Raw genomic sequence first — 26,710 nt, 5'->3', positions numbered from 1 at the left:
CATTTATTTATTTATTTATTATTTTATTTTACTTTTTTTTTTTTTTTTTTTGAGACAAAATCTTGCTCTGTTGCCCAGGCTGGAGTGCGATGCTGCAATCACAGCTTACTGCAGCCTTGACCTCCCGGACCTAAGAGATCTTCCCATTTCAACTTCCTGAGTAGCCGGGACTACAGGCATGCACCACCACACCTGGCCAATGAAAAAAAAATTGTTTTTGGTAGAGATGGGGTCGCCTTATGTTGCCCAGGCTGGTCTCAAACTCCTGGGCTCAAGCAACCATCCCTCGATGGTCTCTCAAAGTGCCAGGATTACAGGCATGAACCATTGCACCCAGCCACAAATTTATTATAGAACTTATATAGAAAGATTCCAAAATGGATCTCACGGCTAAGATCAGGTGTTGGGAGGGCTGCTTTTCATCTGGAGGCTCTAGGGGAGAATCTGTTGATCTGTTTTCTTGCCTTTTTCATACTCCTAGAGGCCACTGGCATTCCTTACCTTGTGGTCCTCTTCCATCTCCAAAGCCAGAATCATCCAAATTCATGTTTCTTACATCACACATCTTGACTCCGACTCTTTGGCCACTTTATTTCACATTAAAGAACCTGGTGATTACATTAGACCCACTCAGGGGCTGCTACCAGATAATCCAGGACAATCTCTCCATTTTAGGATCAGCTGATGAGTAACCGTAATTTCCCCTTGCCATGTAATGTGACCTATTCCCAGGTTTTGGGGATTAGGACATGAATATCTTCGTGGGGAGGGCCACTATCTGCCGATCATCCTATACGAATATAATTCTAGGTGCAAACAATCCAAATGGCAGGCACTATTATCTACACCAGGAATCTGGCCCAACTCAGCCAGCCAATATTCCCTGCTGTGGTCATAGCTATTATTATTACATAGAATGTGCACTTACATAGGGAAGTATTGTTTTGTCTGTTCATCTCTCTCCTGGTGAGAGCACTTTCCTTCCAGTGTGTGGGTGGGCTTGAGATCCTACGGTTAGAGGACTCAGAGCCGGGAGCTAACACTCATTGACTCAGGTCGACGTTGATGGATCTGGTCTGAGAACCTGACCCAAGCCAGGCTGCTCAGCACATCTGAAAGTCCCTGGGACTTCTCACACCGCACCTGTAAAGGTGGAGTCTGTCTCTGATGATGGGAGACCCAAGATATCACATGTGGCAGGTGCTGGCCACCATACTTCCAGCCACATGGGGAAAGCCAGCTTAGGCTGATAGGGAATAAGGCTGGAAAGCAGAGATGAGCCTGAGATGGGAGAATGAGAAAGACACACACACTTGGAGTCCCAGCTCTGGTACTTTCAGCTGCTTTGCAACCTGATCGTCCCATGTGGGCGTTCATTAACCTCTCCTTCTACTGCATCAACTGTCACGGTGTTCTTCCAATAACTTCTCCCTTTTGTCTAAGCTAGTAGGTTTTTGTAGCTAACAGGTAAAATAATCTTCACTAATACTACTTATTGTAGAAATAAAGACAAAATGTGTAAAAGGAGCCTAGAGTTAATAAGAAAAGGTGTCTGTTATAAGGAGGAGGAAAAGCCTGAAACAACAACAAAAAAATACAGACATTTTGAGTGTGAAAAAGAGAAGAAAGAGACATGAGGAATCAAAGCATAGGAGTGTTAAAATGGGAAAATGAGTTCCTCCCTTCACAGGTCTTCAAGTAGAGGCTGATAGAAAGATAATTTGTGGGCCAGGCGTGGTGACTCATACCTGTAATCCTAGCACTTTGGGAGGCCGAGGTGGGTGGATCACGAGGTCAGGAGTTTGAGACCAGCCTGACCAACATGGTGAAACCCCATCTCTACTAAAAAATACAAAAATTAGCCAGGTATGGTGGCGCATGCCTGTAATCCCAGCTACTCAGGAGGCTGAGGCAGAAGAATCGCTTGAACCTGGGAGGCAGAGGTTGCAGTGAGCCGAGATCACACCACTGCACTCCAGCCTGGGCAACAGAGCAAGACTCCATCTCAAAAAAAAAAAAAAAGAAAGAAAGAAAAAAAGAAAGATAATTTGTGCATTTGTATAATGATGTTTCAGATCGCTGATGCATCTGAAATTCTATGACTAGGATACTCCAGTGCTCTAGTTTTCTACCTCCCTTTCTCTCTTTCTCTACAACTTTCACTCTCTAGCTTTCAATTCATGGAGAGAAATCCAAAAGCTAAATAAAAATTACAGACCAGAGAGGAAGAAAACTCTGTTAGGTGGTGATGACCTACAGGGCTGTCCTCAATGTAGTTTCAGAAAGCAGTTTCTAGGACCTGCCTCCCAAATTGTGAAAGGTTTTGTAGGATGAAGGATATTGCATGTGGCTTCCTGCACATGAGGGTATATCTCATGTGTTGTGGTGCCTCAATGCTTATCTTCAGAATTGTAGAGCTGGAGAGGAGAGAGTTAAGTTATACTCCCCAAAATGAGAGAAATTAAATTATTCGTTGAACAGAGGACTGGTAGAATGGGCACTGGCTACAGGAAGCTTAGAGGAGACGTAACCAGAGTTTTTATGACAAGGCTGGAAGAGAGGTGCAGGAATGATAGGTCACAGGAAGAAATGCATTCAGGTGCCTTTCCCCAGCTTGAGGCAGGGCAGGTGTAGATGGATGTTTTGTGATTGGGAAGATGTAGGAGTGGAAAGCTGGGGTACTGGTGGGGGAGGCAGTGTTCTGGGCAAAAGAGTGACATGACAAAGTCGTGTGAAGATTTGGCTGGGACACGGACAGGGTAGTAAATGATATAGTTGAAAACAATTTGCCAGAAAGCCATTTGGGAGAAAGCAAAATGGTCAATGGAAAGCAAATTGGTTGAGACAATAGTTTGGTTCATAATGAACATACATAATATTTTGAGTATTAGTAATTTTCATGCACTAATGGTTGCATGGTTTTGCAACCATTTGCAAGTTTTTTTCAGAATTTTTTCCGCATTTGAATTACTTAAAATTTCTAATTCACATCCAGTGAAGTTTCTTGGCCAAGATTAGCTGGAGCTAGGGGAAAGACAGGTGACCTAGAACTTTTGGTTCAAGAAGTTGTAGCATCTGAACTCGGGGAGAAAATGTGATTAAGTTCCACAGTTAGGTCAGGAGCTATGGCCTGTGAGCTTGGAAAAAAGGATGGAGTCTGGATGTTGGAAAGAGGCCGATATGAACATGAAACGAAAGGTCAAGAACAACCTTAGAGCACAGGTCATCTGGACTGTGGTCCAGAGGTGAAATGGTCATGGTAGAGTATTTCCAAATCAAGGCTTTTGTAAGCCTTAAATTCCACCCTTATGAGTAACAACTCTGAGTCATAAGGTAGTGGAGAGAATGCCTGACAATACTCAAATCTGAGGTCAATACGTGCATTAGTCTGTTCTTGCAGTGCTATAAAGACATACGTGAGATGGGGTAATTTACTTTGAAGACAGGTTTAATTGGTTGACAGTTCTGCGAGCTGTACAGACTTCTGCTTCTAGAGAAGCCTCAGGAAACTTACGATCCTGGCGGAAGGTGAAGGGAAAGCAGGCACGTCTTACCATGGTGGAGCCCCAGAGAGAGAGAGAGAGAGAGAAGGGGGAGGTGCCACACACTTTCAAACAGCCAGATCTCGTGAGAACTCTATCGTGAGACAGTACTAGACGGATGGGGCTAAAGCGTTAGAAACCACCCTCTTGATCCAATCACCTCCCACCAGGCCCCACCTCCAACACTGGGGATCAAAATTCAACATGAGGTTTGGGTGGGGATACAGAGCCAAACCATGTCAGCACAGCCTTCCCAGAGGTCTCCTCTGCTGTCTTTCCACTCTTTGGAAGAATGTCAGGGGCTGATGGAAGGCTTTGAAACCGAAAGGGACCTACCAGGGGGAACCTCATATGAACAGGAAGAGCCGGCAGGAGCTGCACTGCCCACAATAACGTACTCTCTTGCGAGAGAAAATCCATTCTCCTGTTCAGCTGACCCCATCGCAGGACCTTCTGCCCTCTTTGGATGTCATTGGTTGCCACTATAAACTGAGCATGTCAGTACATAGAGAGAGGCCTTTCTTTTGATGTTTGATCGCCTTTTGATTTGATTTATTTGGATTCTACAGCTTCTTTTTTTTCCCCCAAGATGGAGTCTCACTTTGTGGCCCAGACTGGAGTGCAGTGGTGCGATCTTGGCTCACTGCAATCTCTGCCTTCTGAGTTCAAGCGATTCTCCTGCCTTAGTGTCCTGAGTAGCTGGGACTACAGGTACACACCACCATGCCCAGCTAATGTTTTGTATTTTTAGTAGAGACTGGGTTTCACCGTGTTAGCCAGGATGGTCTTGATCTTCTGACCTCCTGATCCGCTTGCCTCGGCCTCCCAAAGTGCTGGGATTATAGGCGTGAGCCACCGCGCCAGGCGAGATTCTATCACTTCTAACTGAACCCTTTCATCGCACCTTCCCCAGGGTTGTGTGTAACATGCAGACATCGCAGAGTTTCTGAAAACTATTCTGTGGTGACGGCTTTCTCATTGAAAACCTGAGGACCAGAGCCTGTGGCGTGGTTGAGTGCCTTACAAGAGTGTTTTCTAATTAAAAAAAAGTCATAATGCCCATGCCAACAATTTAGACAACTAAGAGATATAAAATGAAGACAAAATTCTTCTTCCTATCTCAGGACCTCAATTTTTTCCCCTGAGGGACTCCTGTCATTTTCCAGGGGTAGGCTATTACCCGTATATCATTCCAGAAATGTCCATGCTTGTATTTATTTTTGAACTAACAACCAATCCCTTTTAATCAGTTGTCATTATTTTCCTCTGGTAACTCTGTCTTGAAACCAGGCTGCAGTACCCACGATGAGCACCATCTCTAAAACAAGAAGAGCCAGCCGGGCATAGTGGCTCATGCCTGTAATCCCAGCACTTTGGGAGGCTGAGGCAGGTGGATCATGTAGTCAGGAGTTCGAGACCAGCCTGGCCAACATAGTGAAACCCTGTCTCTACCAAAAATACAAAAAATTAGCCAGGTGTGGTGGTGGGCACCTGTAATCCCAGCTACTCAGGAGTCTGAGGCAGGAGAATTGCTTGAACCCGGGAAGCAGAGGTTGCAGTGAGCTGAGATCGCGCCACTGCACTCCATCCCCGGGCACAGTGTGAGATTCCGTCTCAAACAACAACAATAACAACAAACAAACAAACAAACAAAAAGAAGAGCCTTTGGCGGACCAGCCTTGCCAGGCACCTTCTCGAAAATCCCATTCTTCCCATTTTGGGCTAATCTTGTCTCTGAATCTGCTACCATCTCTCACCCCGATGGTCACAGCTGACATTGCTGCTGATGGTCAAACCACTGTACTGCGTTTCAAAGTGTTAACGGTTCATTTTCTCCAGCCATAGGCTTGTCTCGGGGACTTAGCCTCTCTTCCTAGGGTGGATTCCTGGTTGGTTGAGGACTTGGACTCATACAGATGGAGGTCTTCATTTCTTAGAGGTACACCGTTGGCTGCAGGGGTAAGGAAGCAAAGCAAAGTCCACATGGCAGGAGGCCACGAGGCACCTCTAGCAAGGCAGCAAACCCCAGCTTCAGGGCCGCCCAGGGCCGCCGGGTTAACAACTGAGAATGTCACCCAGCGGCAAGGGAGAGCTGGCTTCCAGCACATTCTCCAGTGCATCGTGGTATCTTATGTGGCCGATGGCTGTCTGTTTCTGTTCGAAGGTATTATTAGACTGTCACACAGATGGAAATAGCATCGTGCTGGCGATGTCACATACTGATGCCCGATCCGGAATGCGCGCGGAGATGCCTCATTTCATTCCCTTCCTGGGAGGCAGGCGCCATCACTGCTGCAGTCCTCGCTCTGCAAAAACTCTTCCTAGTGTGGATGTTGCTAATTGTCTGCCTTCCTTGCCAGGAAATCTACGGCTTGTCGGAGGAGAAGACTGTCACGTTAGGGAGCAGTTTGCTTCGCGAGCTTTGTTATTTTTCTACAACAGCTGTCCACGTAAGATTAAAATCCTGAGGAAGCTTGAGCGTCGCCCCCTCTACCCCCAGAGAAATCTGGCCCACCAAATGCTAGAACACGCAGCGGTTTGCTGATTTTCCTCCTTACTCTGTGGAAGTCAGCTTTAAACGGTGTGTCCCAAGGGAAGCCCAGTCGGTATATTTATACATGAGGATGCCTAGAAAGCCACGTCTTCACAGTATTTCATATATTTACAGAAAACAAACATATGGCTCAGCAGTGTGTTGAATATATTTTATATATCTATAGCTGTATATTTCTACCTTTCTGTGTGTATCTAAAACCACAGATTATTAAATTCGAAATAGGTGGTAGAGATCATCCTGTAACTAGTAGATTTCCATGCCACAGTTCACTTTTAGGTGAGGAAAATGAAAGTCTACAGAGAGTAAATGACTTGTCCAAGGAGGCAAAGCTATTACAGTTGGTGACAGAGTCAGGCTAGAAAACAGGGGGTCTGCTTTTTCCTGGTTCCTGCTTCACCCCAACAGGATCCATTCTTGCTGCTCTCTGCCCTCTCTGTGCCTCCAAAGACTAACTCCTTGAGTTGCATCTCTTGGGCTCCCCTTCCCATTGGCTTCTGGTTGGTTTGGCCAATGAGAGGCACTGGTGTAAGGTGGAGGGGAGGTAGAGAGGGAGGCTGGGGTGTTTCTGCCCACCACCCCTGCTTTGACATCTCACCTCTGACAGTAGCTCTGACCCTTCATGACGACAGCCTTCTCCTCTAGGTTCCAGCTCTCACCTGCCTTTCCTTGCTCCTTTAGTCGTAGGGAAGGTGGCACTGCCCACTGTGAGAAGTCTCGGGGTTCCCCGCCATCTCCTGTGTGGTCCCCCAGCCCTACCCATACCTCCGTAAAGAATCCTTTCTCTAGAGTCTCTTCCTTTGGACGATTTCCTGCTTGGTCGCTGACGGATGTGCCTGGTGTCCTGAAGTCACTTCTCACTCTCCTGTGCTGACCTGTGGCTGCGTCTGCAATCCGTCTGCACAGCCTGCACAGTGCGTGGGGCTAGCAGGCCTTTGGCAGACACTTGTGGAATGAGTAAATGAGTGCCTGCAGGAAAGAACAGAAATGCCCAAACAGGGAACGTTGCCTATTATTTGAGCAAAATGTATCCATTTTGAAGTTTTTCTAGAGTAGAAAATAATGTTAAGAAGTAAAACTATTGATACAGAGGAGTTCAGAGAAGGTGCAAGGATGGTACAAGGAAAAAAACTGTGGGCTAACGGAGTTGTAACCTCATTCGTGCTCCCAGCTAGAGAAGCACAGCTGGCAGATGACGTGTCTGTGAAAGCAAATCAGACATTGCCCTTTTGAGCATGGCGAACCACAAGCCACAACAGGAAGAAATCTGCCAGGGCCTTAGAGATCTTCTTATTCTACTTCCTCATCTTACAGAGCAGCGGGGCGTGGTCTAGGAGAGTCAAGTGAATGTGGGAAACTGGATGATGATCCCTAAAGGTCCACACCTTCGTCTCTGGCACCTGTGAGTATGTCCCCAATGTGGCAAAAGTGACTGCAGAGGGGGTTAAGCTGAGGATCTTGAGATGGGAGATTATATCCTGGGTTATCTGGGAGGCTCAGTGTAATCACAAGGGTCTTTATAAGAGGCAGGAGGTCGGACTGAGTAGTAGGAGCTGAGATGATGGAACAAGAGGTTGCGGTGATGCAAGGACGGGGCTGCGAGCCAGGGATGCAGGCGGTTCCTGGAACTGGAAAAGGCAAAGGAGTGGATTCTACCCTGAAGGGTATGCAGAAAGAATGCAGCCCTGTGGAAACCGTGATTTCAGACATTGGCCCTCCAAAACTGGGAGAGGAAGTTTATGTTGTTTTAAGCCACCAGGTTTGCAGTAATTTGCTACAGCAATGCTGTGGACTGAATTGGATCTTCTCCCCAGTTCGTAGGTTGAAGCCCTAACCCCTGATGTGACTGCATTTGGAGATGAGGTCTTAAGGAGGTAATTAAGGTAAAAGGAGGTCGTAAAGGTCTGATAGGACTAGTGTCCTCATGAAAAGAGACACCAGAGAGGATGTCCCCTCCCTGTGCACACTTAAAGGAAAGGCCACGTGTGGACAGAGTGGCTGTCAGCAGGCTGGGAAGAGCCCTCATCAGAAACTAGCCCTGCCGGGCCTTGGTTGGGGACTTCCAGCCTCTATATCTGTAAGAAACCAGTTTCTGTTGTTTCGGCTGCTCAGCCTGTGGTATTTTGTTATGGGAGTCCTGGCTGACTGGTATAGTCCTATAGAGCAGGTCAGAAATGCTGAGGTCTTTCCTGGGCCTGCCCATCACTCCTGCCTGGGCTATGGGATCACGGGCATCACATATCACCTCTGCACTTCAATTTCTCTACCTTGAAAATGAAACTAACAATATAAGTCCTTGAATACTTCATCAGAAGGTACTAAGGGTCTAATGCAATAATGAAGAAATGCTCTTTTAAAATTGTACAGTATCAGTCAATTGTTAAGGGCAATATTTTTATAAACTCAAGTTTTTTTCTGTTTTTTTTTTTTTTTTTTTTTTTTTTTTTTTTTTTGAGACACGGTCTCACTCTGTTGCCCCAGGCTGGAATGCAGTGGCATGATCACAGCTCACTGCTGCCTTGAACTCCAGGGCTCCTGCCATCCTCCTGCCTCAGCCTCCCAAGTAGCTGAGACTATAGGTATGCACCACTATGGCCGGCGCATTTTTTTTTTTTTTTTGGTAGAGACAGGGTTTCACCATGTTGCTCAGGCTTATCTTGAACTCCTGGTCTCAGGGGATCCACCCACCTTGGCCTCCTAAAGTGCTGGGATTACAGGTGTGAGCCACTGCACCAGCCAAGCTTGAGGTTTGAGAGGCGGTATGTTATAGGGAACTGCCCAGCCAGGTACTTCCCAGGGTGTGGTTACCTCATCTACAAAAAGATAGATGATGGTAGATCACTTGCCAGGGCCCACCACCATCCAGACTCCAGGTTCGGGGCACTATTCCTCCTGTCCACAGCACCTGGACACCCACAAGCCCAGCATCCAGCACCACGTCAGTTCATGGGAACAGGGCGTGAACATTAGTGATAATGAGAGCAGAAGGCCATCTCAAGGCACTAGTCATTGAGACTGTGCTTTACAGAAGCTCCTGAAATGTGACTTAGGAAATGGGCTATTTGAATGCAGATTTGGCTTATTAAAGTGACAGGCTTGGTCCAAGGTCCCTCACTGGGACAGCATTAACCATAAACTCACAGCAGTCTGTCCCTGGCCACATTATGAGTTACCCAGAAAAATTAGAGGGCACTAAGATTACCAAAGTGCTGCAGAAACTCCAAAGCAAATAATTACAGAGGCACAGCTGGAGAAGAGAAGAAGCATTTCCAGGACCAGAGAGGGTTGCACCTTCAAGACTAGAGAGGCTTCCATGGGGATTGGCCCCTGGGACCTTCAAAAGAGGGCTGGCTGCTTAAAGGAGTATGGAATTGGCTCGAGAGCAGACAAACAGACCAAAGGAACAGAATAGACTGAAGAAACACGATAAAGAGCTCAGAGACAGACATCAGTGCATATGGAAATCTAACATGTGATAAAGGTGGCATCATACATCAATGGGAAAAGACAGGCCATTTTGAAAATAGTGTTGGGAGAACTGGCCATCTCTATGGAGAAAAGTGAAACTAGATTACTGTCCAGCATCACACACAAAGGTGGAATCCAGTTGGACCTGAATGTGAAGGGTAAACTGTAAAATTAATTGTGTGTGTATCCTTTTGACCTAGGGAAGAAAAGGACTTCTAAAACAAAATTTCAATATCACAAACTATAAGGTAACACCAAGCCAAAACAGAAAACCAATGTGATTATATCAAATTGATGATTTTGTCTTTTGTTGTTCAAAAAGTACACCAAACTCTTAATACTTGAAAAAAACCCAATTTAATAATGAACAAAGGATCTGAATAGACATTTCTCCAAAGAAGATGTATAAATGGATGATAAGCACATGAAAGATGCCCAATGTCATAGCCATTAGGGAAATGCAAATCAAAACACAGTGAGATGCCTCATCACACCCACTAGGGTGGCTGTGATAAAAAAGACAGACATCCCTAGGATTGGTGAGAAAGTGGAGAAACTGGAACCCTCACGCGTTGCGAGCGGAAATGTAAAATGGTGCAGCCACTGTGGAAAACAGTTTGGCAGCTCCTGAAAATGTGAAACACAGAGTTACTATGTAATTCCATTCTTAGGTATACATAAGAGAGAAATAAAAACATATTTCCATAAAATAATTTGTATATATGAATATTCATAGCAGCATTATGCATAATAACCAAGACGTGAAAACAACCCAAAAGTCGATTCGCTGATGAATGGATTAACAAAATGTGGTATAGTCAAGCAATGAAATGTTATTTGGCAATGAGGAATGAAGCATTTTGGGAGGCTGAGGTAGGTGGCTCTCTTGAGCCTAGGAGTTCGAGACCAGCCTGGGCAACACGGTGGAAAAAAAAAAAAATCCTGGCATGGTGGTGCGTGTCTGTGGTCTCAGCTACCTGGGAGGCTGAAGTGGGTGGATTACCAGAGTCTAGGATGTTGAGGCTGCAGGGAACCGAGATCGCGCCACTGCACTCCAGCCTGGGCGACGGAGTGAGACCCTGTCTCAAAAAAAAAAAAAAAAAGGAATGAAGTACTAATGAATGCTACCACAAATGAGCCTTGAAAACATTATGCTAAGTGAAAGAAGCCAGCCTCAGAAGACCGTGTATTATATAATTACATTTATACGGAATGTCCAGAATGGACAAATCTATTAAGGCAAAAAGTAGATTAGTTATTTTATAGCACAGGGTGCTGGGAAGTGACTGTTAATGGGTATGTGGCTTATTTGGGAGATGATGCAAATGTTATCAAAATTGATGATGGTGCTGGTTGCACAACTCCGCGAATATACTGAAAACCATTGAACTGTGCACTTTAATGGGGTGAACTGTACAGTATGTGATTTGTTTCTCAAGTCGTTAAAAAGTACACCATAAAATTAATAAAAATATATCAAAGTGGGAAAAGGCATTTGTCTGTAATTGAAAAGGAAAGAATACTTAGAATATGTAAGGAAATACTGCAAACCAACAAGACAAGGATACGAACAGGCAATTTACAGAAGAAAAAAACTCAAAGAATAACAATCATGTGAAGAGATACTTCAACTCCCCTACAGAAAGAAATGCAAATTAAAACTATAATGAGACTTCACTTTATTAGACTGGCAAAAATTGGAAGAATAGCAGCTGGATAGTGCTCATGTTGGCAGGGCTGTGGCCTACGGGGACCCCCATGCTCTGATGTTAGGAGGGTAGACTGGTACATTCCTTGAGAGATCAATCTGGAAGAGTTCAGGTAAGCATGCCCTTGGAATTCCGTGGGATTCTGTGGAATTTATATGCACACGCATACCACCACCAATCTTCTCTGTGTCGATGAGGGCATAGCTCAGTGTGTTTATCTGTATGTGGTGGGGTATGAAGACAACTGGGCACCCATCACTTGGGGGGTGATGAGATAGAATGTGGCAGACACCACAGGGATCTGTATAGTCCTTCCAATCGATGGAGGAGGGGTGCACTTAGCCACATGAATGCACCTTTGTGCAGTATGAAAAAATTAAGCAGCAGGCTGGGCACGGTGGCTCACGCCTGTAATCCCAGCTCTTTAGGAGGCCGAGCAGGGCAGATCACCTGAGGTTAGGAGTTCAAGACCAGCCTGACCAACATGGTGAAACCCCATCTGTACTAAAAATACAAAAATTAGCCTGGCATAACCTGGGAGACAGAGGTTGCAGTGAGCTGAGATTGCACCATTGCATTCTAGCCTGGGCAACAAGAGCGAAACTCTGTCTCAAAAAAATAAAAAAAAAGAAAAAAAAAAGAAAAAATTAAGAAGCAGCTAGGCAAGGCAACCTTATTTGTGGAAGTCATACAGGTACACACCAAGAAACAGGCACTTTCTAAGGTTACATCTAAATAACAAGATGCATATTATCCATTGGCCTGGTTGCCTAGGATGGGGTGGTTAAAAAGGAGTGAAAAGAGGCAAAATAAATAATAAGATGAGAGAAGGGAGATTAAAAAATACTTTATACGGTTCTAGTCTTCCCACTGTCTAGAGAAAGCAACCTATGAGCTTTTCTTCACACACCTCTTTCTAGTTTAACCCATTTGTGCCTGAGGTTGCTATTTTTTGAGTTTTTGCAATCAGACCTTGGCAATGACCTTGAGCAGTAGGGAATAAATAACTCCCATATGCTCAGTGTTCCAATAATGGAACACTAGGCATACATATGTTTTAATGAGCTCAAGTGGCCCCTCTAGAACTCTTTTTTTTTACAATGCCCATTCCCAGGCCAGAGCTTTGCAGCTTCTTTTTCTGTTGGTCTGGGGTAGGAACCTAAATTGTGTATTTTTAACAGTCTCACTTTGTGATTCTGACATAGGTGGCCCTTAGTCCATTTGAGAAGCTGATCAAGACCGACTTTGACTTCCCTGTTTTGGACATGTCCACCCCTTGCTCACTGCTGCTGGACTTGGCCTTGGTCTGATCTGTGCTGTCTCATCTTGCCCCTCTAGGATCGGCTGTCTGCTCTGCACTAACCCAGCCGCTAGCCTGGTCCCTGTTCTGGCTTTGCTGGGTGGACGTGGCATTGGCCCTGACCATCTGCCTTGCTGGCCTTCATTACAGCCAGACCCCCACTCAGGGCTCGCAGCTCCTGTGGTCTCATCCCCAAGAACCAAGACAGGGCAATGTCTCTTACTGCCTGTAAGAGCTTGTCGTCCAGGCCTGGAGCAAGAGCCACTGTGGACCCCAGAGCCACAGGAACGCCTCTGCCTGCGGCGGATGCCTGGCCAGGCTGAGGCACGCGTGGGAAAGTGCTAATCAGGACTTTTCTCTCTGGGTGGCTCGCACCATCCTGGCAGAAAGGCAGTGGGTCACTGTGTGGCCACACAGCCCAGAGCCATTCAGGGGGCAGGAGGGAACATGCAGAGCGGAAATGAAATGTCCCCTCTCAGAGCTGCCAGGCCAGATGACGTGCCCCGAACAGTCGCGACTTTCTTTGTGAGGACCAGGGCTGCATAATGCGCATCCCCGAATAGAGCCCCGTCACCCGGGAGACAGAGGCCTTTTCTTTCGCAGGCTGGTGACTTCACTGTACATTCCCAGGCCGCGGGAAGCACTGGGAAGCCTCTCTTCCGCCAGGCCTCGGACAATGCCGGGGAAGCAGGGGAGGCGCTCGCGGGGGCCTGGACATGGGCAGCGCCGGCGGAGAGAGGTCCACATTGCCACGCTGGTCATGTCGAGCCCAGGCTGGCCACAAAAACGGCCTCTGTGAATGGGGATCAGCGGGGCAGGGGCTGGTTTCCTTTCACCCCTCCATGAAGAGGAGGCTGAGATGGAAAACAGCAGGCGAAGAAGGAGCTGGGGAGCCGGGGTTGGATAAGCACAGGCCCAGCGCTCCATCACACGCTGACTGTCCCCTGGCAGGGACTGGAATGTACATGAACGAGTTCTGGAAGCTCTAGAGACTGTCTTCTTAACTGTAAAAGGAGCTCCCAATGGCCACTTATGGGATGGCTATGGGATTAAATTTCACTAAGTGCATAATAGTCCTTGCAAGATAAGTTAGGAATTCTTCAATAGACACTGCCCCAAAACTGTACTATGGGCCAGACAATTAGCCCTTATTAATATCAATGGATACAATCTTAAGAATAGTTTGCAGCCAGGCGCGGTGGCTCAAGCCTGTAATCCCAGCACTTTGGGAGGCCGAGGTGGGCAGATCACGAAGTCAGGAGATCGAGACCACGGTGAAACCCCGTCTCTACTAAAAATATAAAAAGTTAGCCGGCGGCAGTGGCGGGTGCCTGTAGTCCCAGCTACTCAGGAGGCTGAGGCAGGAGAATGGCGTGAACCCGGGAGGCGGAGCTTGCAGTGAGCCGAGATCGCGCCACTGCACTCCAGCCTGGGTGACAGAGCCAGACTCCGTCTCAAAAAATAAAATAAAACAAAATAAAAATAAAAAATAAAAAAAAAACTTTGCAAAACAGATTTTCTTATTTCATCTCATGGGCCCACTTTGCAGTTGAAGACATTGAAACTCAGATGGTTTAGGTAAGGTACCCACCCAGCGCACAGGAATTGGCAGATCTTTCATCTCCAAGTTCAGTGATTCTTCCCCTGTGCCAACGATGTGTCTTTTCTATGTCCCAATAGTTTACCCAACTGGGAATTCTGCCCTTTCTGGAAAATTTGACCTAGCCTCTGCTCAACACAGAAGTGATTCATTTTCAGATCACCGTCCGCGGACAGCCCCTACATTGTCTGGCCTGACCTATTTCTCCTCCCTCTACTCAGGGCAGATGGAAAATTTTCTTCCCAGCTGTGCCTTCTCTTTGAGATTGCCCACCACTCTTCTGATGGCCTGATTTGAGACTATCCCCTCTGCTGTATACCCAGCATTGGCGAGGCCAGGTCAGGCAGGCATCCAACCTCAGCCACGGAATTCAACCAGCAGCTGTGCACTCATGCAGCTGGCAGCTTCAGAGGACAAATGCTAGCATTTCCTCCAATTCAGGGGGCTTCTTAGAGTTTAATTCTCACTGACTTCTCTTGGCACTGGGCAGGACGAGGGTCTTAGTACAGTGACCCTGGAGTGCTAGCCTTTATTGTGGTCTTTAACATGACTGGTCCTGCAGAGATCCATGTGGTAGAAGAAATTCCAGCCCTTCATTATCATTTGGGCCCTTTTCTTTTCTAACAGGTGAGTGTATGATGGTCACTGGCACTATGATTGACTGACAGAAGAACACCAGAGACACTCAATAGAGGAGGGCATGGGGACCAGGTGTCTACCTAAGGCAGGAGATGGCCCAGCATGTGCTTTCTAGAAGCTCAGAGCAGCACACACTGAGCCTGCAGGTGGCTGACCTCTCCCGCCAGGAGCGAGAAATCTGCCAGGTGTCAGGAGCTGCTCTGCATCTGGAGCACATCAGGCATCTCCAGATGTGGGGTACCCTTTGCCATTAAAGAAACTGATATTCTCTTACTGGGCCTGCTGTCATCTTTAGTCAATCATCTTCAATGATCATCTTACATTGGTCATGAGCCACGGCAGGCAAGGAAGTGGGAGCAGCATGACATGGTGAAGAGGTCTGAGGCGGGAGTCCAGGCTCTGCAGGAGGGCATCTGGTCTTGAATCCTGTCCTAACACAAACTGTGTGAGCTCTGTCAAGTTCCCTTTGCTTCTCTAGATTGTAGATCTCTCTTCTGTGAAAGGAGCGTGTTTGTTTCCTATTGCTGCTTGTGTAAGTCAAGGTTCTTCAGAGGAACAGAACAATAGGATTCATATATATATATGTATATAATTTTTTAAAGGTATTGGCTCATGTGGTTATGAGGCCTGACAAGTTCCTAGATCTGTAGTTGGCAAGCTGGAGACCTGGGAGAGCCAAGAGTGTAGTTCCAGTCCAAAAGCTAGCAGGCTCGAGACCCAAAAAGAGCTGACGTTGCAGTTTGAGTCCAAAGGCAGAAAAAAATCAAACAAACAATGCCCCAGCTCAAAGGCAGTCAGGCAGGTGGAAGTCTTCCCTTACTCGAGGGAGAGTCAGCCTTTTTGTTCTATTCTGGCTGTCAACTGATTGGATGAGGCCCACCCGCATTAGGGCAGGCCGTCTGCTTCACTCACTGGACTGATTCAAATGCTGATCTCATCCAGAAACATCTTCAAAGACACACCCGGAATAATGTCTGACCAAATGTCTGGGCACTCTGTAGTTGATGAAGTTGATACATAAAATTAACTACCACACTAACTTTGTCTAAGAAGTGTTCTTTCTACTACAATTACGCTCATTCTCCCTCTGGCAAGTTATGAGGAAAATCAACCAAAAGCCAGACACTAGGCTTAGTGTTTGGTCCTAAAATAACTCAGGACAGGTTTCTAGAACAGCTAGATTTGAAGAAAAGAGCTGACTGCAGGGGGCTCCTCCTTCATGTGTTAAGGCCTTATTCTGATGTGAAAGACAAGGATGAAATGGGAAGATGTCCAATGAAGATGCCATATTTCTAATATGGAGAGCAGAAGCCAAATGGGAGAGAATGGACAGAAATTCCAGTTAGAGTTTTGAGAAAACAAACATTCTAGGCAACCAAACAACACACCAACCAACCAACCAACCAACCTATCCACCCACCCACTAACCAACTAACTAACCAGCCAACCTACTCCCCCATACCCACCAACCAACTAACCAACCCACCCTCCCACCAACCAATTAACCAGGCAACCCACTCACACCCCTCCCCTCCAACAACCAACAAACCAACCACCCCCTATACAAACAGCTTTTGGTTGCACATAACCAAAGCTGTTGTTGAGTGGGAAGTGGAGATTGTCTAATTAATAATCTGTTTTATTCTTTTTCAGATCACGTTGCACAGGGTACATAAAGCTGAATCATCTGGGGGAAGTTTGCTAAAGACACAGAATGCAAAGCCCCATCTCACTCTTCTTGAATCAGAATGGCTGACTGTGGTGCTCAGGAATTTGCATGTTTAATAAGTTTTCCCCGGGTGATTCTAATGAATGCAACTTGAGTACTGTTTAGTATATGCTGAGTATACCTGGAGCTTTGATGTGCTGCAGGGATTAGAAGAGTTTTCTGATTTTGACCTTCCCATTTTGAAATAAGTAGATTCACCATTTTTTTTTTTTTTGGGATGGAGTCTCACTCTGTCGCCCAGGCTGGAGTGCAGCGGCGCGATCTCTACTCACTCACTGCAACCTCTGCCTCCTGGGTTCAAGAGATTCTTCTGCCTCAGCCTCCTGAGTAGAGATGGAGTTTCGCCATGCTGGCCAGGCTGGTCTCGAACTCCTGACCTCGTGATCCACCCACCTCGGCCTCCCAAAGTGCTAGGATTACAAGCGTGAGCCACTGTCCCCCGCAAGTAGATTCACTTTTACATGACAAAGAAGACTTTGTCACTCCTCCTCCCATTCATTAGTCACTAATTCAAAGAGGAAGTTGGGACCAAAAGTCATGCATCTGAGAGGCTGCCATGATTTCTCCCCAAAACACATTGGCAGGTGTAAAATTATTGAATGAACCCATCCCACATGTGGGCTGTGTTTCTGGCTGGGTTTGACCCACATGCATGTCTGTGGGCTGCTCTGTCTAGACTCTTCAATATTCCAGCCACATTTTGTGCCTTAGAATGAAATTGCTGTCGAGATATTGATCTCCGTTTTTGTCGGGGTGCAGGAATTTTATTCTATGTTGTCAGGATCCCCTCTGGATGGTGTAATAATATTGTGAGATAGTTCTTTAGCATATCTTTAAATCTTCATATTTATTTTGAAAAAATTAGAAATTTTAGAAATATGCATTCATTTTTTGCACCATCTAGAATTAACAACTGATAGTATTTTGACTTATTGGCTTCCTTTTTTAAATAAAAAATTAAAATATTACAGATATAGCTTATGTCCTTGTACTTATCAGATCTACCACCCCTACTTCAATTCCATTTTCTTCTCATCTTGCCAAAGCCACCTACTCTCCAAAGCTTGGCACATGTCCCTTTGTTCCATTTGAAAATAATTTAAATACATATATCCACATGTACACAGTATCTAGTATTGTTTTCGTGTTTTCAAAATTTCTCACACACATGGCATAAACTTTTTCTTATCATTCTGTATCTTGTCTTTCTCACTCAGTCTTTGGCTCTTGAGTCTATGCATAGAGCCATGTGTGGATCTAATGCATCTCTTCGAACAGTTGAACCTTGGAGACCTACACTTATTTTATTCATGCATTCCTACACCGATGGACATTGGCACCTGGTTTCCTCCGCTGCAGATAATGCTACATTAAACATCTCCGTACATATCACTTTGTGCATAGAGTTTCTCTAGCATATAGAACTAAAAGTTAAATGGCTACACTATAGAGCATGCACATTTTAAATTATCATAGATATTACAGAAACACTCTGCAAAATGACTAACAGAATTTATTTTCCCACCAGCAGTCTATGAGAAGGGCATCCTTCCCCCTCCACTTTTGCTGATGCTATGTACAATTTATCTATTTTTTTTTTTTTTTTTTGAGAGGGCGTCTAGCTCTGTCACCCAGGCTGGAGTGCAGTGGCTCTATCTCGGCTCACTGCAACCTCCGCCTCCTGGGTTCAAGTGATTCTCCTGCTTTAGTCTCCAGAGCAGCTGGGATTACAGGTGCCCGCCACTATGCCCAGCTAATTTTTGTTTTTTCTTTTAGTAGAGAGGGGGTTTCACTGTGCTGGCCAGGCTGGTCTTGAACTCCTGACCTTGTGATCTGCCCGCCTCAGCCTCCCAAAGTGCTGGTATTACAAACATGAGCCACTGCCCGGCCAGTTTACCTAATTTTTGTCAATCTGATTGATGAAAATGATGCCTTGCTGTTGTTTTGCTTTTTGGGTTTCACTAATAATTGTTGAGACTGAGCATGTTTTATAGGTGTTTATAATACTTTTTGATGAGTAATTCATTATCCACTCCTCTAGGTTACAGATTAGATAGAATTTGTAAGTGATAAACTGTTTATACTTTTAAAAAGACTATTTTATTATAAAATAATCAGTGATCACCATTAAAAAATTAAAACTTTACAAATTTATATGAAGTTAAATGTAAAATCCTCTGTTCCTCTTAACCCATTCCTACAGCTGGTGACCAAGTGGCTTATTGTCCATGAAGGGAGGTTTGTAAGAGGAAGGGAGGCTTGTAAGTATCGCATTTTAGGACACGCTGTGGAAGCCAGGACTGCCCTGCGCAGCAGCCACTGTGAACAGCTTGTGATTCATGTGAGTCTCCCTGGACTTCTTCCAGCTTACAGAAAAATAATAATGCAATGATTTTGTATATAGCCTTTACCTAGTTTTACCAAGTTGTTCACGTTCTGCCACATTTAAGCATACACTCTCTCTCATATACATAAGTGTGTGTACATATATGCACATAAGGATTGCTATTATTGCAGAGACATTTGGGACTAAGTTGGGGGACATCTTCATCTTTTATCACTAAATATCTCAGTGTGTATCTCCAGAGAGCAAGGGCATTCTCTCATACGTGCAGAGTACAAATCATTTTCAGGGAATTTAACATCCATCTAATACCACTATCAAATATACATAAAAACACCTTAAAGCTTTCTATAAAAACACCTTAAAGCAAGATACCATGTAAGTCTATATTGATAGTCCCCCAGTCATCCCGATAGTGTCCTTAATTGCAATTTATTCTTCTGATTTGGGATCCAATTCAGGGACACTCACTGCCTTTGGTTGTCCTACGTCTTCAGTCTCTTTAACTATTGCTCATCCTCTCTCCAAGACACCGAGATCTTTTAAGGCACACAGGCCAGTTTTGTAGACTGTCCCTCAGTTTGAATTCATCTGAATGTTTCCTCATTGCTAGAGTCAGGTGATTCATTTTGGCAGGAGTCCTGCCTAAGTGATGCTGCCATCTCAGCGCCTCACACCAGGAAGTTCCTGATGTCACTTTCTCTTACCCTCATTTCCCTTAACAGTTGCATTATTGTCACATTTCATCCTGTGGGTGTAGCAGAATTACTCCAACCCTGGCCCTATTGATGGCTTTTAGGTTATTCTCAGTGTTTGGCTAATGAAAGCAATGCTGCAATGGATGTGACAAGGAGTGTTGTAAACGTTAGGATAGATAGAATGAATGTGATCAAGAAAATAAGAGAGAAGAAAGAATAATGGAGAACAGCGCTTTAATCAGACTTAGACATGAATCTTGATGGAAGAATGGTTGGCTGACGGGAGCGGGATGTGATGGAAAAAGACACGATCACTTTGGCTGCAATAAGGAGGATGGGTGGGAGAGCAAGACTGGAGGCAGCGAGACCACTTGGAAGCTGTTCAAGGCAACAGTGAGGGAAGAAGGAAGAGAGAAGAGAGAAGGACGAGGGAAGAGGAGATAAAGGCCTGAAGCAGACAGAGGAGGGGTGGTAGAGATAAAACTAAAGGGAGCAATTAAAATAATTTAGATAAGTACTGACACATGGTACAACTTGGGTGAACCTCACAAACATTACGCTAAGTGAAAGAAGTCAGTTGCAAAAGACCGCAGCTTGCATGACTCCTTATATATAAGATATTCCTAATAGGCAAGTCCACGGAGCTAGAAAGCACATTCATGGTTACCAAAGGGTGGGAGAGTGGGGAATGGGAGTGATGACTTTAATGGTACAGGGTATTTCTCGGATGTGATGAAAAGTTTAGCAACTAGAGAGAGGTGGCGGATGCCTAACGCTGGGAAAACACTAAATGCCGCTGAACTGTGCACCTCTAAAGAGTCAATTGCATGTTATCTGAATTTTACCTTAAAAAAAAAAAAAACCTTAAAACATACAAACCATCAGGATGCGGGATTTGACAGATTTTGTGAAATGAGAACTGGTTGTGTTTTAAGCTTTCTGGTTTAGGTGCCTGGGCAGAAGGTGATGTGGTTAACTGAAATAAAACTTTGAGGAAAAGGGGCAGGTCAGAATGGGTCAAGAAAATGATGTGTGCAGATGTTTGGAAGGCGAATCATATGGCAAAATGTCACATGCATGCAAAAGTACCCAGAAAAGGGTGATGAAGCCCCAAGGGGCCATTATCCAATTTCAACAGCAACCAGTCGTGGCCAATATTTATTGCTTCTTCTGTACCCACCTCCCACTTCCATATTATTTTGAAACGAATCCAAGATATCATATTCTGTTATCTATTAATAGTTTAGGATATGTCTATAAAATATGAGGAATTAAAGAAATACTAAAAATGCTGTTATTGCAGCTAAAAAAATTAACAATGATTCCTTAATATGATCTGATATTCAGCCAGTGATCAAATTTTCAATTATCTTATAATTTTTTCTTATGATTTCTTTGAGTCAGGATCCAAGTAAGATCCCTTTGTTGTGATTGAATAATATGCTTCTCAAATCTCTTTCTATCTCTTTTCCCCTACATCTCTCTCTTTCTCTTTGATTATTATTATTTTTAGAGGCAGGTCTTGTTCTGTCACCTAGGCTGGAGTACAGTGGCACGATCATAGCTCACTGCAACCTCAAACTCCTGGGATCAAGTGATCCTTCCCTATCAGTTTCTCAAGTAACTGAGACTACAGTCATGTGCCACCATGCCCGGCTAAGTTTTAAATTTTTTGTTTGAGATGTTGTCTTGCTATGTTGCCTGGGCTGTTCTCAAACTCCTGGTTTCAAGTGATTCTCCTCCTTTGGCCTTCCAAAGTGCTGGGATTACAGGTATGAGCCATTGCACCTGGCTGTCTTTTTCCTTAACATTCATATGTTGGAAAATTAGAGTATTTGTCCCGTAGAGTCTCCTGTGGTTTGGATTTAGCTACTGCTTCTTCATGGTGCCTTTTACATGTCCTTCTGTTCTTTGTATTTATGATTGGTAGCTGGCTCAAGACTTGATCAAATCTGAGCTCAATTTTCTAAGCAACCCCTTCCATCAGGAGGCATACAATGGTCGACTGTCTTTTTTTTGGTGATGTTAATAGTTGCTGCTGATCCATGTCTAGCTAATCCAGAGAACCTCTTCCCAGATTCCTGATTCTCAAAAACTGTGGGAAAATAAATGTTTATTGTTATTTTAAGCCATTAAGTTTTGAGATGACTTGTTATGTAGCAATAGATAACTAATACAGCAAAGTCAAAGCAATATTAGGAAATCCATTAATATAATCCATCATACTAACAGACATAAGGAGAAAAATCATAAAATCATCTCCAAAGATGCACGACCAAACCAAACCAAAGCATTTGATAGAAAACAATACTCTCTCCATCAAACAGGACTTGACAGATAGTTTCTTACTTCGATTATGTCTGTGTGTGTTCATATGTGTGTATGTATATATGTATATGTTTATATATGTGGTACATATATGTGTGTGTGATATATATATATATATATATATATATATATATATATATATATATATATATATATATATCAGCCCCAAAGCTAGCACCTTATTGATTGGAAAACATGAGAGGCTTTCTGATTAAAGTAAGCAATAAGACAAACACACGCCCACTATTTCAACTGCTTATAATGTGTTGAAATGATTAACCCCTGCATTTTGACAAGGGAGAGGAATAAAAGGCATTAGTACTGGAAGGAAAAGCTGAAATGTAGTGAAGTAGTCAGTTATGAAATTAACATATAAATATCAAGCAGAGCAAGACAGAAGACGTAATAGGAGAGAAGACCCAATTTATGATGGCAAGTAAGAGAATAAAATAGCCAGGAATAAACTTAACAAATGCCTACCATCTGCATAAAGAAGGCTCTAAAATCCTTCTGAAAAACACAGTAGTAGAACTTAAATCAATGGAAAGGTGTACATGTGCTTGGATAGAAAACTCAACAACTTAAAGATGAAAATTCTATTGGTTGGTGCAAAAGTACTGCAATTACTTTTGCACCAACCTAATACCTATTAATTTTTACATTAAACATAATCTCAAAAAAATTCTACAGCTTTTTTTTTTTTCTAGAGTTAGATCAATTGGTTATAAAGTTCCTTGGGAAGAACAAACAAACAAGCATAGTCAGGAAAATGCTACCGCTGCTGATTTTAGTCGTAGTGATTTTTTTTTTTTTGGCGGAGCGTTGCTCTGTCGTCAGGCTGGAGTGCAGTGGCGTGATCTTGGCTCACTGCAACCTCCGCCTCCTGGGTTCAAGAGATTCTCCTGCCTCAGCCTCCTGAGTAGCTGGGATTGCAGGCACGCGCCACCACGCCCAGCTAATTTTTGTATTTTTAGTAGAGATGGGGTTTCACCATGTTGCCAGGATGGTCTCGATCTCTTGACCTCGTGATCTGCCCGCCTCGGCCTCCCAAAGTCCTGGGCGTGAGCCACCACGCCCAGCCAGTGATGTTTTTCTTAAGTGCCCATGGAGTTGAGTGGCCAGGTGAAAATGTTCAGCCAGGAATTAGACGTGTAAGGCTGCAGCCCAGGAGTCCTTAAGGACCCAGGTGGGTGGAGTAAAACCAGGAGGGCCTGGGCTTTCCCTGGAGTCGCTGGGCTTTTCCGGAAGGATTGTGAAGTGAGGAAGGCCTTAGGAAAGACCAGCGAAGAAAGAGGGTGTCAGTGAGTGGGCGAGTGGTGACGGAGGGGAGGGAGAAGGGGAGATGGAAGCAAAGGAAGAAAAGTAGCAGAGAGGAAGGAGGAGACCCAGGGAAGAGCAATGCTACAGGAGACAAGCGTGTGGAGGGTTTTCTAAAAGGAGCTGACGAAACCTAGCGGCTGAGATTCTGGAAATAATGACGGAACGTTTCGTCTGGAACTGGCTGTGAGTTCATTCGTGACCCGTGGCACCGTAGGGTTTGAAACGCACGTGCATGAGGTGGAGGTGTGAATGAGATCACCAGAGATAACTACTAAATACAGTGTTTCGGTGACTCTCCTCCTAGACGTCACTCTCTGGCTGCGCACGCTCTATGTGCGTACATTGCAAATGAATGCATCACACTAGAAGAATATTCTATAATCTGCTTTTTCCACTCAGCAATATAATGTGTAACTCATGAAGTCATGCCTTAGTTAGCTTTCTAAGTCTAACTTAACGCAAGAAAAACTCGGTGAATCTGAGGGTTTCAGTCCCTCATTTAAATCTGTAATGCATGCCTCCACGTCCGGCGTTATTCTGCATGTCTGGGATATACCGTGAACAAAACAAAGATCCCCTCCTGACAGAGCTTCCATTCTAGACACCAAATATGTAGAGGGGTGGTGAGTGCTATGCGGGAGAAAGAGTGGTCAGGATAAGCGGGACTGGGGGATAGAGGTGGGTGGGTGACAGCTTGCAGTCTTGCAAACAGTGATGGGGCAGGACTCAGGAGAAGGTGAGATGTGAGCAAACTGGCAGGAGGTGAGATATTGGGAGGTGCTGTCTATCCAGAGAGGTAATGATGGAGGTAGGCGGGGTGGGGGGTGGGCAGGTTGGATAAAATGATGATATGATTTTCACCCAGAGGAGTCGAGGTGGCCGTTAGACATCAGAAAAGGAGATGCCCTTTGGGGAATTTAATTCGTGGGTCTAAAGCCCACAAAAGATGTTTGGCCTGGAGAAAACGGCTTGGAAATTTTGATGAGATTACATGGAGCAATGCTTGGGCTCTAACCCCAGAATTTCCAATTCAGTGGGTTGGGGGCGAGGCTTGAGTATCTGCATTTCTCACACGTTTCCAGTTGATGCTGCTGGTCCAGGGACCACACTTTGAGAACAGCTAGGGTAGAGCAAAGGAAGCTGAGCTTGGAATCTGTAGTCAAAGGGAAATGGACGAAGAGGGCCTTGGACAAGGGGTGGGGAGCTGGGGGGTGGGGGGGGGGATAGAAGGGGCAGGGTGTAAACTAGAAGGAGTAGGTCACAGAAGCCAAAAGAGGGAGAGTGGCAGGGCAGTGGGAGAGGGCAGCAGAGCGAAATACTCTGGCAGATGGATCAGAGATGTGCTTGCTGAATTTAGTCATTGGAAAGCTATTTTGATGGTTTGAGGGTGAGAAGCTGGTTCTCAATTGGCAAGCGAAGGAGCAGCTGCTCTGAAGACCAAGGGGGCATGAGGTTAGGTATTAAACAAGGACTCTCTCTAATTCATTCTCTTGATTGCTTGCTACTTTGAAGTGAATAGTGACTACACTTCTGCAAGATGCAATTACAGAAGGAAAAAATGATTTCTGCTAGACTGATGTGTTTAAGCATATGTTTCTTAATGATAATTGTTGTAGCTATTAGAAAGGACATTTTACTTAAACCCATATGTAAGGTAGGAACAAGATTTTCATATTTGTAGGATAATTGATTCCTTTGAGCAACTAGTGCTTCTTATACAGTGACAAAAATTTTGATGCACTAAACTGAACCATTAAGAATGGATTCAATCAATATTTAATTATAATATATATGGATAGGACATGTAATATGGGACAACGTAGCAGAAGCTATTAAGTGTACAGCAGTTTAAAAATGTAATTTAGCAATGAGGTACTGCTAACCAAAGCAGAAATCATAAAGCAAAATATTGGCAGATTTTACTACATACAAAAAAACCTTAGTATCCCAAACATGTTGTATATAAAAATAAAAATAAACACATAGTATACAAATGTTAAAACATTTAAAAATATGTATTACATGTATGCAATAAAAGGTCAATATCTTTATAAGATTAAGACAAACTCTTTGAAATTAGCAAGAAAAAACACAAACACTGCAATGGGCAAATGACTATCAGACTAGAAAAATCCTCAGAGGAAGAAATAAAAATTGTCAATAAATATTTTTTAAATTGCAATTAATATTCTTGGGGATATAAGTTAAAGTAATATTCAAATTTTCACCTTTCAAATGGACACAGATGAAGAAAACCTCGTAAATTATTCAGGCTTGGTAGTTGTGTATGGAATTTTTTAGAGGGAAATATTTTTAATTCAGAAAGCTTGCGATAGGCTTAGAATAAGGAAAAATCAACCAGAGGCAACCTAAATATGGAATAATAGAAAATTGATTATCAAAATTATGAGCCAGCCTGGCAGTGGCCTCCTTTACAGCCCTGAAAAATGATGGCATAGAAGAAAATGGGTTGGCATGAGGGGGTGGCCCCTCTCTTTGTTTGGTTAGCTTGTTCTTCCAGATGCAGTTTTGGGCAGCCACCTTTGACTTTTGGGCAGCCTCTGCTTTGCTGAGCTCTAATGGAACTTTGGTAATTATGTTAGTGGAGAACTGTTCATTGTGCACAGTAATGATTTATTCATATTTCTTTTTTTTTTCAGATAGAGTTTCACTCTTATTGCCCAGGCTGGAGTACAGTGGCACAATCTTGGCTCACTGCAACTTCTGCCTCCTGGGTTCAAGCAATTCTCCTGCCTTAGCCTCCCGAGTAGCTGGGATTACAGGCACCTGCCACCACCCCTGGCTAATTTTTGTATGATTTATTCTTATTTCTGTTATTTGTACTTGATAATGAGCTTTTTCATTGCAGGGATCATATCTTACTAATTTCTCGTAAGTTCCCTCCCCCGCTTACCCATCTCTCTGTCCCTAGCACTGCGCAGGGCCAAGGAAAGTACCTGGACCATGTGTGTTGAAGAAATGAAGATGGAGGTGGCACTGGAGTTCTTTAGCAATGCTAGAGGCACAGGACCTGGGAGCCAGGATTTACAGGCTGGGTAGCACTCACACCCTTGACTGCAGCTCAGAATCAGCTGGGGTGCTTTTGAGAGAAATGATTCCTAGGCTCCAGCTCATACCACTTATGGGTCTAGAAATCTGTACAGATGCTCCTCGACTTATGGTTGGGGTTTCATTTCAATAAACCTATCATAAGTCAAAAATGGATTTAATATTTTGATAAACCCATTGTAAAGTCAAAAAGTTATAAGTAGAGCCAGCGGGGACTGTCTGTATTTTAAACTTCCTTTGAAGTTGAGAATGACGGAGCCAAACCAGTTCAAATCGGTTCAGGTTCAAGAGCTGCCCGGAGGAAGCTCTGGGCTGAGCAGGTGCTGTGTCAAGCTGGGTAGAAATGGAGGAGCCCACAGGAAGTGCGCTCGGGTATGTGGGCAGGTGCACGGGCAGGTGCATGGACAGGT

General features: G+C 44.4%; 1 long non-coding RNA gene across 1 annotated transcript, besides 1 other annotated feature; it reads left to right on the top strand.

The window, feature by feature from the left end:
* Window positions 2,674–3,873: an enhancer, noted in NCBI's record as "CDK7 strongly-dependent group 2 enhancer chr2:236302767-236303966 (GRCh37/hg19 assembly coordinates)". NCBI's record gives its function as "activates an origin of replication core promoter dependent on BRD2, BRD4, P300/CBP, MED14 and CDK7 cofactors, with strong dependence on CDK7, by STARR-seq in HCT116 cells {active_cell/tissue: HCT116}" and the evidence as "EXISTENCE:reporter gene assay evidence [ECO:0000049][PMID:35650434]".
* On the top strand, window positions 16,935–18,932 carry LOC105373941 (uncharacterized). Its single transcript, XR_924010.2, has 3 exons — window positions 16,935–16,965; window positions 17,759–17,923; window positions 18,745–18,932. It is a non-coding gene; the product is annotated as an uncharacterized LOC105373941 (long non-coding RNA).
* The last annotated feature ends 7,778 nt before the right edge of the window (window positions 18,933–26,710 follow it).

This window comes from Homo sapiens, chromosome 2 (genome assembly GCF_000001405.40).
Source record: "Homo sapiens chromosome 2, GRCh38.p14 Primary Assembly".
Lineage (NCBI taxonomy): Eukaryota > Metazoa > Chordata > Mammalia > Primates > Hominidae > Homo > Homo sapiens.
This window is presented reverse-complemented; position numbering and strand designations above follow the sequence as displayed.